The sequence below is a fragment of the Homo sapiens genome, chromosome 3 (genome assembly GCF_000001405.40).
Source record: "Homo sapiens chromosome 3, GRCh38.p14 Primary Assembly".
In the NCBI taxonomy this organism is placed as follows: Eukaryota; Metazoa; Chordata; class Mammalia; order Primates; family Hominidae; genus Homo; species Homo sapiens.
Window position 1 is genome coordinate 173901937 of NC_000003.12, and position 18997 is coordinate 173920933.

Below are 18997 nucleotides of genomic sequence, written 5' to 3' on the forward strand. Positions count from 1 at the left end.
CTTTTATATTTAAGCCATTTTAATGGCAAGTTAGTATTAAAACTGACTATTGGATCTTCTGATGTGGATTTTATTATTAGTACTTTGCTTGGCATCCAAAATTTGGTTCCCTACACAGATAGCCCTTGACGGAATGTTATTTGATTATCCAAATCAGTACTCACACTTTTTCAAGAAACCTTGAAGAAAATTTAGTTTCCCGCACTCTGCCACATCCCATACTCCTAACTTCTTTTAGCTTGAATACTTTTTCTTTACTTTTTCCAGACCTCATAGTTTTTCCACTCCTCCTGGATAGGATCCATTAAAAGGAGGTGAGTTCACTTAGAGGTCACAGCTTCTGTCTGTTGTCTTGACCTTTCCATAGGAATACACACATGACTGGCCCATGTCTTACTTCCTCAACTGGTGAGGATTTCAGAATTGACATAGAAATAGCTTATGTTTGAAACAGAAAATATGATTTTTAAGAGAGTTTATGTAAGGATTTTAAAAATGTGATATCCCAGAGTTACAGGTCAACCTGATTTCATATAGCAACATTTCATGATAGTTATTCTTACGTAGAGTTTCTCTCCACAATATGGAATAATTTAAGGTTACATTTATCATTACACATGACCTTTGAGTAACCTGTGGCTACTCAAACCAGTTTTTAAGTTGGCAAGCCTCTGGCAACTATATGCTAATATTTGATTGTGGTTATTTCAACAGACTTTATAGCCTTATTCTTTTTTATTACTTAGAGAGAATCATAGAGTAGGCATGGAATAGTGAATTTTGGTTTATTTCTGGGCCAAGAGAGAACATGATTATAATTAGATGAGACTATAACTATTCTGTGAGCCCACAGCATTAAGTCTAGAGATCATACCAGGAGCATTCATTTAGCAAAAATGCATTTTGTGAACTACTGTGTGCCAGGCACTGTTTTGATGCTAGAAACAGCATCAAAGCGAGGCTTAGTACTTGTATTAAAGAGGTCTCATGGGGTGAAACAGATAAACACAATAAAAGTACCATGTGTTTACTGCTATAATCAAAATGCTATAGGAATTTGAGGGCTTACCACCCAACTTAGCTTTGGTGTGTCACAGCATTCTATGCAGATGAATAGCACTGTAAAGTTCTGGAAAAGTTTAGCATGAGGAAGGGACTTGTGAAGTAAACAGCAGACAGGTCAGAAAAGGCATTGAGTGTTCTGTTAGGAATTCATACTGGGGAAAAAGGGATAGCATTGATGGGCTTTTTGGAGGGTAATGGCCTCATTAGATCAGATCGGCAGTAATCCAGGAGGAAGACTGGTGATTGGATCTAAGGAAAAGGGATTAGCATGGGGAGGAGAGGATGATCAGGAGAGAGAACAGACCAGACTCAGCTACTGACTGAATGAAGGGATTGATGGAAGTGGAGTACTCAGGGTCAAGAATGGTGTGGACAGATGACAAGCCTTTTACCTTTAGTCATATATGTGTTATGTTGAAGAGTTTTTGCATGGTAAAGATAATTTAATCTTTGTACTTTGATTATCTGAAATATATTTATGTAAAACATAAACATGTTTCTCTCAATTATTTAACAAGTAATGCTCTATACTACTGCATTTTCCTATTTGTTACTAGAGGTGACAGATGGAAGCTGCAGATTGGGAAGAAGTGATTAAACAGTGAGAATAATCTATTGGTGAGGCCAGGCCTACATATCAAGGTAGCTGTGCTCAAGGTACAGAATATAGAAGAGAGGGTAGGAAGGTATACCTGCGGGCAAGGAGCTATGGAGGGCCTCCTGAAACAATGAAGCGATTGCTGAAAGCTGGGACAGTTAGTCTTCTATTTTAAAGTCTCAAATGAGAGTTGGTGTCAGTCTCAGCCAAATTCCTTGAAATACTGTCATATATTTCAGGGAGCTGTAAGGAGATCTTTTATTACATCCTTTCAAATCCTGATGTGCCCTCTAGAAGTTGGCTTTAAAATACTTGTAGTCTTTTTTCCCCAGCACAGACTCAGAAGGCTCTTCTTTTTTTTTTCCATTTCCAAGCAGCTACAAAGTTTACTGTTGAAGTAGAGGTTTACTTTTCTAAGAAATTTTTGAAGGACTTTTATATTACAGTACAATTTAAACTTTTAAGAACTTTGTAATAGATTCAACTTACACGACTGTGGGCTGTCAATTTATTTTATTATTTGAAAAGTCAAACTATCAATGGCTTTTGGTTTGCATATAAATTCTTTTGGGTTCCTTTTGTTTCATTATTGCATGGGCTTTTTAAAATAAAAGAGGTATGATGTAAATATCTCCCTTTCTCATTTTTTAATCTCTCCTTTTATCTCTCCTTTCTCCTTTCCAATTTCAGTTTAGCAAAAAATTACTCTTGGGCTAGTTACATTTAAGGCATTGTGCTAGCTCTGGAAAGACAAACAACATAGGAAGATATCTCTAGGATCAAGGGGTTAGAATCTCTTTGTCCTGGCTTCTCTCTTCTTAACTTTCACCTCTTTCTATTTTGCTTAATTTTTCTTCCTTTTTTTTCTCCTAAATGGAGTATACTTTTGCTTATATGTGAAGATAAAGGGTTTTTTTTTTTTCATTTAGTTTCAAGTGCATAACCACAAATATGTGATAAATAGGCCTATTGAATGTTCCCATTTCGGTATGGCAGCTGGAGGAGGATATGGAATAATATCTTGAGAGAAATATCCATCCTAATGTCTTCAGAATTTCAGGGGAAGAGACACTCATATTCTTTTCTGGGTCACTTCTGTTTCTAAGAGGGAATGCCTTAGACCAGCTCTGACCATACAAAGATATGTTTGCATTTATGATTCTGCTTGCTGGTCAACAAAGCGGTGGTGATAAGATTTGACAGAAAATGCCAACAGATACAGAACAAGAACAAGTTATTTTCAGGCAGGTAAAGGAAAAGCTTACAATAGCACACGCTGATTATACAAGACTGATGATATTGCAGTGTTCCAAGGGAGAGGGCCAACCTGCCCTGGCTATCCAGGCCCATAAAGAGCCTTATATTGCTGCTTCTGTCCTCTTCTTGAGGTGAGAATCTTATCAAAATTTTGGAAAAGCTCCTTTTTCTAGTTTCATGGGTTTTAAACCTCCGTGGCTCCTCCTGACAAAATTCTGGCTACCCGCCTGATGCAAAGAACTGGTAACAATTTCACTATTTCCCTGTCTGTTTGCCTGAGTTCTCTTTCCCATGTGGACTATCGCCATAGCAGGGTAGGGCCTTGGACCTGCCAGAGGTCTAGTCCCACAGATTCCAACTTCTGTTAGTTTTTACAGATGAATGGCACTGCAAACTCTTGTTATTTGTTTATTCTTGTTTTACACACTTTAAATTTGCAACTTCAGCTGAATTGTTAAAAAGACTCTAGAGTGAGGAGAGCCAAAGGGTCCATATTAGCTTCCAACCCCAATTTGTACTGTCCACTTAAAGCAATACGTTAAGAAAGATTTCAAGGCTTCATGCTGGTTCACTGAGAAAGAGCTCTGGTCCATCATGTATTCCACAGACAAGGGAAGGGAATAATGGCATGCATTCCTGACATTTCCTTTTCCTGGTCTAGCACCATCCTAAATCTTTAAGAGAGAAGAGAGACCTCTCATGTGGCCCTCCCTTGAGCATACACTGGCCTGTTGGATCTGGCTGTGAGTTATATTCAGAGACCTGCCAGGGACAATGGATGTGATAAGAAATACATCACTTGGGGCATTTCAAGCAAGCACAGAAATGTTTGGTAAAAATAACAGAAGACATGGATCCAGCAGCACTTTCCCTAGCAGGTTTGCCTCTATAACTGCAAAAGAAGTCTCAGGACATAGCCTTTCCTTGAAGCAAAATGTCTGTCACTGAATGGTAGGATTTGTGGGGTTCTGACAACTCTTATCTAACAGAAATAAAAATCTATTTCATCAGCTTGTAGGTAGTCCCTGAAATTTAATCACGGGGGATGTATTCCTGTAGTATACTAGGAGATTGAGGTCTACTGCATAAACAGAATGTAGAATTAAAGAACTCTTGGACCAAGAACAGACACAAGGGCGATGGATTTTAATACTATTGTTTTCTAGTTGAGGAAACAAAGGCAACTTAACCAATAAATTCTCTTTAATTTCAAGGGGAAAGAGAACCACTATTTATTCACTGTAGTTACTGTAGATTGTTTTATAGATTAGGAAACTGTAGAGAGTTTAAGTATTGTGTTTAACATCATGCAGCTAAGTTAGTGCCACAGTCAGAATTTGAATCCAACTTTATCTGGGGCCTAAGCCTGTGTGCCCTTTGCACTGGATCGTATTGCTCTTTTTTATTAGCATTTTTTCCATCCTTTCTCCTCCCTGTCCCACTGACTTGCTGTATGTATATCTTACTCTACTGAAATCTGATCTCTTCTACTTTGGATCTTAGTAAGATTCTGATAAACTAATTGATAATTTATATTAATAGTTGATAAAACTCAATGCCTTATGGCCTTTATTGTGTACCTACTTTGGGATAGTCTCTAAGGATATAAAAGAGATATCACCCCTGCCCTGAAAAATTCCAGAGTAGCACTGTGCTGCCGTCTATCTAATCAACCCATCACATTTTTGTAAACAAATTTGTGATAAAATTATTACTATATTTTTCGCCTTTCCCACGATGGAGGCAAAACAGTGGGTGATTCTTTGGGCTATTTCAAATCTACTTTTTCTATAACACTATATTTCTTTCCCTTCTGTGTCCTTTTTTAAATTAAATATTAAAAATGTTAGCCAGGCATAGTAGGTGCACCCGTAATTCCAGCTACTCAAGAGGCTGACACAGGAGGATCACTTGAGCCTGAGTTCCAGGCTGCAGTGTGCTATGATCGTGCCTATGATTAGCTACTGCACTCCAGCATGGCTAACATAGTGAGACCTCATCTTTAAACAAACAAACAAAAACAAAAAAAAAAAAAAAAAAAGAAAGGGAAGTCCACGTTACTGAGGCTCTCTTTAATTAATAAATGCTTGAAAAGGTCTTTGTAAGCCTCAAATACTTACAAAATAAATGGTAAAGTATCTTCTTCTATGGGTTTGGGCATTTTCCTGCAAGAAACAGTTGAAGATCTTCCCAATCTCCCAGGCCTGGTAGTCATTTTAAAACTTAAAGAAGTATAATTGGTGACATGAAATATCCACATCTTATTGTTGCTGGTCAAGCTTAGAAGGCAGGAAAGAGTCAAAACTCAGGAAGCCTAAAGCTCTGCTTCGTTATAAAGAAACGCCACCACCAGCACTTCTCACATTTCTTTTGGAAAGAATATTTAAGTGTAAGGATATTTTCCTCAGCAACTCCTTGTTATTCATATCAAAATGTTATGTCAAGTTGATTTCCTCTTACCGTGAGGCATCACTTAAAATACCTACCTATAGCTATGTCCAGTTAGTGGAGAATACTTCATTTGTTGTATTTCCAAGAGTCCAGGATTCTACAGAGAATTTTTTCAGAGTTAAGAACAAGCACTCTACTTCCCTATTTCCCTACATTTCTGTAGTAGAGCTGAGTCCTCTTCTCTCTTCTTATCACATGTAGAGAGTTGTTAGGGACTATAAAGAAATGAGGATCCAGGAGAAGGCGTATCTTAGATGGCTTTATCTCTCTCTCTCTTTTTTTTTTTTTTTTTTTTGAGTTGGAGTGTTGCTCTGTCGCCCAGTCTGTAGTGCAATGACATGATCTCAGCTCACTGAAACCTCTGCCTCCCAGGTTCAAGCGATTCTCCTGCCTCAGCCTCCTGAGTAGCTGGGATTACAGGCATGCTTCACCACCCCCGGCTAATTTTTGTATTCTTAGTAGAGACGGGGTTTCACCATGTTGGCCAGGCTGGTCTCGAACTCCTGACCTCAGGTGATCCACCCGCCTCAGACTCCCAAAGTGCTGGGATTACAGGTGTGAGCCACCACCCCCGGCTAATTTTTGTATTCTTAGTAGAGACGGGGTTTCACCATGTTGGCCAGGCTGGTCTCGAACTCCTGACCTCAGGTGATCCACATGCCTCGGCCTCCCAAAGTGCTGGCATTACAGGCGTGAGCCACCACGCCCAGCAGATTGCTTTATCTCTTTTACCTTTCAATCTACTGTAGAGCTCAAAGAGAAAACAGGACAACTTTTATAAAAATATTGATTACTGCATGTTAGTTAAAACTCTAAAAATAAGGCACAAATAAGGGACCATTTATACCAAATAAACTGGAAAAAATATGTATTTAAATGGTAATACCTAGGCTAGTTTGATTGCAGTAAAAACATCACACGTATCTAGTGGTTCTTAGCCCAGAATGGTGCATTAGAACCACCTGGGGAGTTTTTGCAACTTACCAATACCAACCTTCCACCTCTGCCTCAAATTCTTAGTGATGGAGTAAAACAAAGGATGCTTTTTGAAAGTAATTTTTATAATATCTTTAAATAGCCACACAAAAATGTTTGCATTTTCAAACCTCACAATCTCACTTGTGGTAAGATATCTTTATAAAACTGGAAATTGGGAAAAAGCTGCATGAGAGAAGCTCAGAGTTGTTTATTATATTTAAAATTTTAAACAGCCAAAATCTTGAATGTGCAATATAGTAATTTCTATCCCCATCACCCCACACTCACTAATATAACAGCACCTAGTTTTAAAGTCTGTCTAGTGCAGAGCTGACTATGAAATCAGGCATGGTACAGCCTACGTGTAGCAACATCTATAACTCTAGTGGGGCTGGCAAACTCAGGGGCAATTAATACTGATGTAATTGTGGAAATTACATTAAAAAATAGACACTGCTTATAAACAACTAGAAGGAAATAGAGAAAAATAAAAATAATTTGGCTTGTTGAGATGATGGCATTGCGTTATTTTTCTTTCATTTTGAATTCTGTTAACATAATTTTGATGTCTATAAAAACATTTTTAATGGGGACTATTGGCAGGCTAAAGATGTTTTTAGCTTTATTAATTTATCTAAAGATTGAAATGTAATAACATCAACTGGCCAGACTCAAGTAGCTTAAACCCAGTGTCTTAAGAATCATTAGTCTTTCCCTATCACAAAGTATCCCTCTCTACCAGTGAGGTGGAAAAATGGATCATTTTTCCATTACTGGCAAACATTTGTATTAGAACATTGTCTCCCAAGATTAACATTATTCATTTTAAGGAAATAACTAGTATGAATTGTATTCTATTAGCTAGTCACTAAGTCAGGAAGTCCTTGCAGAACGATGCAAGGAAAGTAAGATTTGGTTTCGGGGGAGGTTCAGTTAAGATAAAAAAAAAGCCCAGACAATGGCATTTGGCACCTAGAAGAGAAAAGCAACCTGAACTTCAATTTAACCCTGGGCTTAGCCATCTTTTTTATGATAAATTTTCCCCGGGGACCTACACTGCAGATCATTCTTTATCATAGGACTTTCCCAAACAGAAGCATCTCATCCTTTGGGGCTTTCCCTGAAAAAAGTTTAATTCAAATAGGGATTTGTGTGTATCCTATGCCAGGCACAGTCACAGTCCCTGGTGTCCTAGACCTTACAATTTGAAATGAAGACTCACTTGTTCAATTTCCACTATTGAGCAATCAGCTTGCCTGGAGAAGCTAATGGTTGCTGGTAGATTATATTATTTTCTCACCTTTCAGTGGTTACATTTAAGTATGGACTTCTCAAGGGAAGCTTCATTGCAACCACCCTCCCCACAGCATTTATTTATTTATTTATTTATTCATTTACTTATGTATTTTTTGAGATGGAGTCTTGCTCTTGTTGCCCAGGCTGGAGTGCAATGGCATGATCTCGGCTACCGCAACCTCCACCTCCCAGGTTCAAGTAATTCTCCTGCCTCAGCCTCCTGAGTAGCTGGGAATACGGGCATGTGCCACCACGCCCAGCTAATTTTGTATTTTCAGTAGAGACGGGGTTTCTCCACGTTGGTCAGGCTGGTCTCAAACTCCTGACCTTAGGTGTTCCACCCTACTTGGCCTCCCAAAGTGCTGGCATTACAGGCGTGAGCCATCACACCCAGCCTCCACAACATTTCTTATAGTGAAGGCATGTTAGGTCAATGGGGGAGAGATTTGCTAACCCAAGAGTCTCTAATATTAAACCCTAAACTCTCCTCAGACTTTATTCCAGGCACTTGACACTACTGGGTTGTTCATGCTCAGTTTCTTTCTTCTCCTTCCTGATCGTTGGTAGAAGTTTCAGAGGATGCAGTGCTTCTCAATACTAATGTGCACACAAATCACCTGGGATCCTGCTAAAAATGCAGATTCTGCTTCATCAGAACTGGGATGGGGCTTCAGATTCTGCAATTATAACAAGCCTTTTGATGCTGCTGCTTGTGTTGTTTATCTCTGTAGTATCTGTTGAATAGCTTGGGAAGTAAGCTTAACCTTGAAGGACAAGGACAGGAAAAAAATGAAACTTTTCCTACAACAGACTGGATATCAGTGTTCATTGCCCATTCCAGTAATACATATGATCATTCTAAGCCTGAAATTTGAAGTTTTGCTACCATTTTATTTTGCTTTACAGTGATTCTCTCTTTCTTCTTTTCTAATTTCACACAGGATAAAATAGGAATAATTAAGTAATCCCTTTATATAGCTTGTATTTTCTAGTATCCTTTGATTTAGATCTATACAAGGTATGCAGATTTTTCAACTATATTCTACTAAAGTTCTTACGATTCTAAAATCACTAAATTTTAATAAGTAATATATAATGCTCACAGCAAATGTGTGCTTCCTTGAGGAAAAGAGAAACAAAATTATTTTGGTAATAATGTAGCATAAAAATCTCCATTTGGAGTGAGAGACTTGATTTTAAGATTGAGCTGTTTTGATCTCATTGTAACTGTGGCCATTTTCTTATCTTCTCCAAGTGTTCTTCGTCATCCATAAAATGGGTATGATAACTATATCAGAGGGTATCGGAAAGTAAAAAGGAAAACAAATTATTTGAAATGCTTTGGGAACTGAAGACACTTTAAATAGCTGCTAATTATTAATTATTCATTACATTTTCGTGTACCTTGCCTGAAATCACAATGTTTTATTGCATTTCACACACAAATATTTATGAATATTACTAAATGTAGGTATAAGAGACTAAATTTGTGAAAAATCTCCTAAACTCACTGTACTTGCAGAAAGAAAACAAACTGTTATAATATCCAAAGAGAATTTATTAAGAAAGCAATCCCCCAAACAATAAAAATGTACTAATTTTTGAAAAATAATTGTTTAAGCTGTTACAAGCGCCAGTGCTTTTTATAGCTAATATTCTTTTCTCTAGCTTTGCTAAATTTAGTAGTTTATCTCAATTATTAAGTGACAGTAATATGTAAGTATCTAAGAGGTGAAATAAATCTACGTTAACCTTGTATAGAACGGTTTCTAAAACAATGATCAAACTTTATGAGAATGCAAAAATACTCCTTAAATATTGTAATCATCCAGAAACACTGACACACATGTCTAATGAGTCAAAAATATTAATTTCCTTTTTCTCTCCTTCAATATATGTAAATGTTAGCAAGCCTGATGAAAGGTTGAATCAGAGATTAGCTCAAAACTGTCAAGGAGAATATCAAAACGACACCTTCTGGGGCATGTAGGCAAACCAAATGCTTAGTGGAGACAGGCTAATTTATCATAGTGCAGTTGCGATGGCAACAATAGTTCTTGGTGCCATGTGACCCAAAGCAGTTTCTGTTGACTGGCTCTAACTGACTGTCAGTTCAGCAAAGGTTCCACTGTTTGCAGTGAAAAGGAAGAGAGAGCATTGATACTTGTTGAAAAGGCATAATAATAATAGTGTATCTCAAACCATGAAAGCATCCCTTTGTTTCCTCGAAGTTTATTTTTATGCTGGCTAAAAGGATCCCTCTAATTTTTGTTACACAAAGACCCCTTATTTATTCACAGATTAAATATGTGTCCCTCTGTTTACTAAGAATTCTATCTATGCCGATAGAGTTGCAAACAACAAGAATTTAAATCTTTCAGGATAATAATAATGTTGTATTTACAATGTGCTAAATTTTTTACAGAACTTTTTCTAGTATATTTCATAAGATCACAAGAAATCTGGTTGTATGAAATATAAGCCAGTAACTAAATTCTCCTGCATATAATTTTTTCAAATGCAAAACATAGAGCCTGACAGTGTTCCCCTCTGATCCGAAGAGAGCATGAGATCTTTAAGAAAGGTAGACAATAAGTATTCACTTTATTCTTCTTGTCTCCTTTTCACTGTTATTTTCATTGATGAGCAAGTAACAAGGGCCATGGAGATAGTCACACTCTTTGATTCAACAATTCCACTCCCGGGATTTTATCTTGGGGAAACCTCACTAAAGAAATAGTTCTATGACATAGAGGAGAAAGAATGAGATTTGGAGTCAGATATGAATTTCAAATCCTGGTTCTGCCACTCGCTCACTGACTGCCCTTGGGGAAGTATTTTTCCTCTATGAGCTTCGAGTTTTCTCATTTGTAAAACAGACTTCAGAGTATCCACCCTGAACAGTGTTCAGGGGCCTTATAAATCATATGTGCTAAGTGTCTGGTATATGCCCCATGTATCTACCAGAGCTCTCAGTATGTGGCGTTTCTCAATGCAGTATCATCTCTAAAAACATTGGAAAAACAATCCGCATTCCTAGAATTAGAAAAATGAGTTAGTAAACTGTATAAATGAGGTGTATCAACAGAATTAAGCATGATCTAATAATCATTTAAAATTTTGATGAAAAAACGTGACTATGGGAGAAATTTTATGATATAATAAAAATAATACTATTACAAAAAGCACAAGTAAAATTATGGACTTTATAATATTCTATCACTGTATAAAATACACATGTCTGAAGATTGTAACTGGCTAGACGAAAATACTATAGAAAGTATGATTACAAGTGATTACTGTGTTAATATTGATCCCTCCTTTAAGGTACTTCACTGTCCTTTCCATTAAAAATATAAGGAAAGAAAACAGTATAGAGGTTGGAGTGGTGAGAGGAATGCCTTCAATGGCTCACACCACCAACAACAGCGACTAGAATGCATTTAAAATCCCTCTTTCTCTTCCACTTAAGAATACCCATTCACCCCAAGTCCATGGGAGGCAGAGGCAAAGTTAACTAAATATGGCTCTGCAAACACTTTTGTGCATGTTCTTGGTATTCCCTGACCAGTACTGCCTCAAGGAAAAAACAGAAAAACATTTATAAGAAAGAATCCATGTGTGGAAGGATTCTAAATTACACACCAAAGAAAGAGTAAGTGGAAGAAAAGTGGGAGGTTGAGAGCAGTTTGCAAGATTGATTAAAAGGTGTGGTTCGCCTTTGGAATGCATTTGTGTTCAAATTTGAGATTTAGATGTTTGATACCCTGGCATGTGGGAATAGCAGCTATAAGTCTTTTCCATAGGATTAGAAGTTCATTATAACCTGGAACTAATGGCCACAGGAACTAAGAGCCAAAGGATTTTCTAGCTGAGTCTTTTTAAGTGGCAGTTGAGCAGTTCACTGAGGGCCATGTTCAGTGCTGACAGCCCAGGAACGAGTGAAGAAGGCAGATAACAAGGCATTGACAGGGGCAGCTGGGTAAGTCTCTCAGTGAATGCTGACATGCTTTCCTCTCTCAACATCCCAGCTAAACTGGCTAGTGTCCAGGTACTATTATCTACTCTGGCAAGGACAGGCCACATTTCACTTCATGCAAAAAGTATGTCGAGCAGAAGAACTCAGGAACAGCCAAAGAAAAGTGCTTGATTCTTTATTACACTCTTCTTACCTCAACTGCTCTGCTCCTAACTATAAGGTGTTCTTAATTTACCAGTCTCTGTTAAAGAGTATTGCTGTTTTAAAGCAGAAAAACATACACTAAAAAAGATAGAAAATATAGACTGAAAATCCATCTTGTTGGTCTTCATGGAAATTCTGTTAGTCATTATTAGGGTTCCCTACCCAAGTCAAAATCACACTGCACCGCAGGAAACTTGTATAGCATACTCAAAACAAGGAAATGACATCTAAACTCCAGTCTAGTGTGCTCGCAACTGGCATCTTCATTAGCAAGTCAAAGTGATCTCATGAAATTGAAATTTGGTTGCTCTGTGCTTCCTTACAATACACAGTTGATATATTTGGGCTGTGGTTCTGCCTCCCTAGGTACTCCAACAGCCATCTCTCTTTGAGGTCTCACCATTCTCTAGCATGTGGCTGAGTTCCCATTGTTGTTTTAGTGACAGAAGTATCCCCTCCCCCACATCCTTAAAGAAATCATTATTGAATCTGAAGGAAGCCTCTGCCCCACTACAACCTCTCACATTCACTTTGCCTCTTCTTCAAAGGGTTTAGGCTTTTGTTTCACAAAAGCCAGCAAGACTTACAGGCTCTGCCTGGTTTGTGGTCAGCCTTATACTTCCCTGGAGAAAATGAAGCATGTGAAGCATGGAGGCTACTTGAATGGCCAAAAGGAAAAGGAGAAAATAGAGGAGAAACACACACACACACATATATAATGAGCCTTAATGAATATATGTATGTGTGTATATATACACATACATCTATACATACACACACACACACACACACATATGTATATATTTGATGAAGACTTACATCGTCAAGCTCTGGGACCAAGTACAAGGTAGAGAATTCGTAGAGTATGTGTGTGGTGGCAGGGGATGGGGTTACTATGTAAAAGTGAAAGCCCCAAGGCACAGGGACACTGAAACAGGAAGAGACTAAAACCAACATGAATCAATAAAGACAAAATCACCAGGTTGAGCGGAGTAACGATTTGAGTTTCCTGATATAGGCTCTTCACACTAACACTAGGTCAGCTCTAAACATCACTGATTGCTAAATCAATAACTGTTACAAGATTTTTGTTTTACTTTGTTTTAAGTTAAAAGAGTGTCATACTTTGTGTGGTGGTGTTCCTTAGAAGATGTGCCTGTACTTGAATGGAGCACAAGATTTTATTTTCAACGGCGAATAATCCTTGCGGTTTTTAAAACAATTGCTGCAATTACAAATAGCATTAATTATGACAATGTTTTCTTTTTAATCATTTACACCTTCAGTTAGACTTGGGCTCTTAAGATTAGCTGGTTGGAGCAACATATTAACAGGACCAAGATCACAGGCGTGGATATCTTGGGGCCAGCTACGCTGACTCTATTTCATGATTATGGATTGTACTTCTAACCTCAGCCTGCCAGTTTTTAAATGCATTCTTCTGGTCTCAAGGGGTATTTTGTAAGAACACATGAACAAATCGATGAAAATCGATTTCCTATTGGAAAAAACTCAGATTTTATGACCTACATCTCATGAGTAACCAGCCCCTTTGCATATGAGAAACAATTAATTAATTCATTTTCAAATGGAGCTGTCTACAAGGATGTCAGGGCAAAACAAATTTACATTAAAAACATTGTTTACTCTTGACAGATCAGTAGACTGAAGTCTATATCTGCAGGAAGAAAATGTATTGCTCTTGAATAATATCCAATTAAGCTTTTCAGCATTTTCCAAGAGCATTCAAGAAGGAAAACATATCCCTTATCAAGGATTCTTTGCCTTATAACTAACCAGGTAACTTCTAGAATCATTCTCACTATTGCTGATACAATCTATTCAAAATAATATCGTGAAGAACGCCGATTTTATCTGTAATCTATACGGATACTGTTGTGAGTTAAAGTAAGTTTGCTAGAAATAGTCGTGGGAACCCACAGTTTTAGAGGCTCACATTCTATAATCGTTCTTGTCATGGGCTAGTCCCTTATTCAGACATTGAATAGCCTTTTTCTTTCCAGAAAACCATGGTACTTATATTTTTGTCTTCTTTTATTTTCAAGGACCATGTAGCTTTTTTTTCATATTTATGCTCATATGCAAAGCCTATACTAGTCTTTCTTATTATTTTCTAATTTTTATTTTTTTAGATTATAGTAGCATTTTAGGCTGAATCAGGATTGTGTGAGAAAAGTAGCAGGGTTTAGATCGTGAACTTTAATGTGGCGCTCCAAACAGGCCTTGCCTTTACTGCAGTGGGTTAACATGAGCATGTTTTACTCCTCTGAGCCTCAGTTTTTACATTTGTGAAATATAGGTACTGATCCCCTATATCTTAGGTTTCTTGTGAGAATGAGATTAGATAAGCATGTTATATAAACTAGCACAGTGTTAGCATGTAGCACATAGTAAAAGTTAGTATGATTATGATATCTTACGATGATCATCAAATAATGAGGAGTTTAAGTTCAGTTGCCTTTCAGCTACCCTACTATTGCTGAGTTTAATGAGTGACCTCTAATGGAGTACAGAGCCCAAAACACAATTGGTAAAACATTATCTATGGCATACTACAAATATTTTGCTCATTCATTCACTCATTCATTTATTGATCACCCTAAGTGGAAGGACTGGAAACAAGAATATAAGCTCTAGCTTAAGGAAATAGATAGGAGAGGCACATTATTGCAATATAGCCTAATTATAATATTTTATATCAAATAATTTAGATACAGGTAAAAGTTCTTTGTAAATGTTGTCATAATAATAATTAGGACTACATGAAAGCCATTAGATATGGTGCCCTTCCAGATAGCAATTTCAGTAGAATGACTCTTCTAATGCTATTTTTATTTATTATAATACCTAAAGAGATACATATTCCAGTGAGGCTTATACAAACAACATGAAAATTTCAGATGAGGCCACCTTTTTATAAAAGTGCTTAAATTTGATCAGACTGGAATATAGGATGCGTGTTCTAGTTTATCCATAAAGATACCCTAATCTGAAGTTAAGGATTCCTTGAGTCTTGCTGAATACTGAGAGCAAATCTAAAATGCCTTAATTAGTAAAATTTTTAAAAAGTAAGAACAAATTGAAATTTTCTGGATGGTTTCCTGTGATTGGACCAAACTGTTGAAGGAAGCAGAAAGTAGAAAAGCAGACTTGTTTTGTGTAAATGTGGGTGTTTTGTTTTGTTTTCCAACTTCAGACTACAATTGCTGAATAAGCTAGTTTCCAGCCTACTATTCAATCAAGTGAGAATAACATAGAAAGGGAAGAAGGCACACATTGCTTAAAAACTACTTCTAGCAAGAAAATCTGAATCAGTGCATTCCAAAGTCAAGTTGATAAACTATATAATGGAAATTAGTGACAAATTTAGATTAAAGATCTAATTTGCAGAATCTGATTTTGCTTCACTGTATGAGAAGGGATTTCATGGATTTTATAATAAAGGAAGATTACAAAGAGACAATAATCTCTTGGATTACTTTATACTTTCTCTGGATTGATACTTTATCACGGGTATTGGAATCAGACACATAAGAAACTAAATTGACTATAATTTTAGACAAACCTTGTAAGTCTTAGTTACTTCTTTTGTAAAAATGGGAACATTAATATGTATAAAATATTTGATAGTGATTGGCATAACACCAGGAACATAATCAATATTCATTACATATGAGTTTAATTTTGCCTAAATTTTTAATACAGATACTGATACTTTTCTTAAGAAAATAGCAAAACCAGAACTTAGATTGAATACAAAAGTAGATTTTACTAAAACAAGAGAAAAGTAAACATATCCTTCTTTGCCTCTATATTTTTCTAAGCCCTGACCTAGAATAGCTAGTCCTTAGTCCCCTAGTGATAGTTATATCAATTACTCCCTAGTCAGGAAGATGTCTAAGCCAAAGGTAAGGCAGAAATTCTGGAGAAATTAGCCATCAGCAGACACGATGTCTAACTGCCTCCACCTGATTGAGAATTCTCATATCCATGACACGATGAAATATTATCAGCTGAACTTAGGAAGGGCGCTCTGAAATTCTTACAAAGCAACATTGTGTGTGTGTGTGTGTGTGTGTGTGTGTTGGCCTTTATCTGGATTTATTGTTGATGAATGGCTTGATTTTAAATCAACAGGCTATGGTTCAAACCATTTCACTTCCTTTCAGTTTGTCCATTTGTAAGTTAAACTTTTAAATTCAGTCCCTTTTCTGTAAAACTGCAGTAAGAACACGTACCTCTAAGGCTGTTTTATGAATTAAATAAGATAATGTATGTAAGATGGTTATCATATTGGCACATATTAAGTATTCAGTCAATTATAGTACTTGTTCTTATTATTTATTAATAGAAGTAATGCATTCGTTACTTATTAATATCTTCCAAAGCTTGAACTTTGTAGTTCTTTAAACGTATTTATGTGAAATCTTAACTGTGCTTACTTAATGCTTCATTAAGTGTTGCAACATGAAATGACCTCACTATTATTAAGTATCATTACAGTTCTCTGTAGCTTGCTACACATCTACAAAAGGTATCAAACACCGGAATTTTAAAATGCATAGAATGGGCCGGGCGCGGTGGCTCACACCTGTAATCCCAGCACTTTGGGGGGCCGAGGCAGGCAGATCACGAGGTCAGGAGTTTGAGACCAACCTGACCAACATAGTGAAACTCTATCTACTAAAAATACAAAGATTAGCGCCATGCGGCAGCGTGTGCCTGTAGTCCCAGCTACTCGGGAGGCTGAGGCAGGAGAATCACTTGAACCTGGGAGGTGGAGGTTGCAGTGAGCTGAAACCACACCATTGCACTCCAGCCTGGGTGACAGTGAGACTCCATCTCAAAAAAAAAAAAAAAAAAAAGAAATACATATGTGTGTGTGTGTGTGTGTGTGTGTGTGTGTGTGTGTGTGTGTATATATATATATTGCATAGAATGGTAACGTCTTCTAGTCCATTTATTGCCTTTATTGAGTGTATCAGTTTCCCATTGCTGTTGTAACAAATTACCACATATTTAGTGTTATAAAACAACATAAATTTATTATTTTATAGTCCTAAAATCAGTGTGTCTACAGGATTGCATTACATTTGGTGGCTCTAGTAGAGAATCTATTTTCTTGCCTTTTCTATCTTCTAGGGGCTACCTGCATTCCTTGGCTAGTTCCTCTGCTGGTTTTGAATAAACTAGCAGTCCAGCATGTTCAGATTTCAATTTCTGTCTCTGATTTTGCTTCAGTCACCACATCTTTTATCCTGATTCTCACTCTCCTACCTCTCTCCTTTTCTTACAAGGACTCCTGTGATTATATTGAGTCCACTTGGATAATCCAGGATAATCTCTATATCTCAAGATCCTTAACTTAATCATATCTGCAAAATCTGACAAATGTATTTGTAACGTAACATATTCAAGATTCTGGAGATTAAGACTCAGACATCTTTGGGAGGCCATTTTGTATCTGCTACAGAGAATATGAAGGAAAAAGCTGTTTATCCCCTTGAGGACATAAAGGACATATTAAGGAAAAGATTCAAGTTTACTGTTGTTCATATTTTACTTTACAAGCATATTTCAAAGAGGACAGAGCAGAAAAAAATTTTCTTGGGTTTTTACCATATGACAGAATCCATGTGAGATAATTTACACAATTTCATTAAATTGTCTAAGCCACACTCACTTTATTAGGAAGGTTCCATTAGCCACATTTCACAGAAGAGGAAACAGGACTCCTAGAAAAATTTGTCCAAAATCATCCAGCTAATGGTAGAGTTAAGAATTTGAAATAAGCCTGGCCAATTCCAAAATCCACACTCTTAACTAGGTCATGCTCTGTCTATAACTCATTGTATCTTAGCTAGAACAGTTTAAAAGAATTCCTAAAATATGGATAAAATATTTAAGGATTTCTATATTATATTAAATGGCTAATTGTACATTTTACTCATGTTTTTATCTTCTGTTGAACTAAAAATGAAAAACATGCAAACAAAAAATGTTCTAGTAGATATATAGCTATTAAATATGCACAGTTTTGCTATAGAGAAGACTCATTTTTCTTTCTTAATAAATAATAGACATTTTTCTAAAAGTTTTATAAATCTTAACATATATGCAATCAATATTTAAAATATTAACATGGATACTGAAGAGCTTTGTACTTAATTTAATCAAAGGAGAATGCTGGGATGCTATTTTTTAAAAAAATATTTTAGTCATAGGACTTTAGATTGCAAACTGCCCAGAGCAGGGTTGAGAGAGACATTGAGAAAAAAGGAGCAAACCTAGTATCTTGAGAAACTGAAAATTCTAATGTTGATCTTCAGGCTGAAAGGGCAGACTAGATACAGATACTCTGAGGCCACTTATTTGAGATAGAAATAAAAAAGGCTTGGATTATCTCTTATGGTTATCAAGTGTTCTAGCCTACTACTAGACTAGATTACTGCATATGAAGTACCAAATAAGTGGCCCTTTGGATTGAATGATTCATTGACTCCTAAAGCAGGTGTGTTAGAAAGAAAGCACAAATGTAAACGTTATATTGCCATTGACTGTGCTCATAAAATAATGAAAACTATGATAATATAATTTGTTTTCTTCAGATTTGGGCCATATCTTGTATCACATCATATAAGAAAAATAGAAGACACAGTCTGGCACAAAGTTTACTCAAATGTCACAGGTGCAGATTGTTCTTGGTTGAAGGGACAGATGCTACCATAACACCTACCAACCTGCTAGTTCGGCTATTTTCATCTTCAGCCACCTTCAAGCATGTGAGAATGCATATGAGTCATCAGACTTGCTGTTAACTTCCTCTGAAGCTCAAAGTTTAAGAGTCAGTAGCTCATAACACTCTATTTAAGGTTCACAACCCCTGGTTCAACCTCTAGGTTTTAAACATTGGAGCCACCTGCTGAAGGAGAAAAGATTGGTGAATAATAGAAGACTTAAGTGCTCCAGGTCTTTCAACCTGTCAATCAGAACTTTTCAGTTCTTAGCTTGTTTAGGTAGAGAGAGATAGAAACAGAGAGAGAGAGAGAAAGGGAGAGAGAATGTTTGAAAATCACTGTTCTAGAACCTTGTAGCTGGCTGATAAATGTATACATATGTTTAAAATGAGAAGCTTATAGTTTCAAATT

The 18997-nt window shown here is 36.7% G+C and overlaps 1 protein-coding gene and 1 long non-coding RNA gene across 34 annotated transcripts in view; one reads left to right on the forward strand and one right to left on the reverse strand.

Annotated features, from left to right (window-relative positions):
• NLGN1 (neuroligin 1) overlaps window positions 1-18997 on the forward strand; it is an 898421-nt gene that overhangs the window by 505985 nt on the left and 373439 nt on the right. The window lies entirely within an intron of this gene.
• On the reverse strand, window positions 8562-18860 carry NLGN1-AS1 (NLGN1 antisense RNA 1). The gene is made up of 4 exons (NR_046664.1): window positions 18590-18860; window positions 12954-13053; window positions 10610-10681; window positions 8562-8933 (listed from the first exon to the last, which is right to left on the reverse strand). It is a non-coding gene; the product is annotated as an NLGN1 antisense RNA 1 (long non-coding RNA).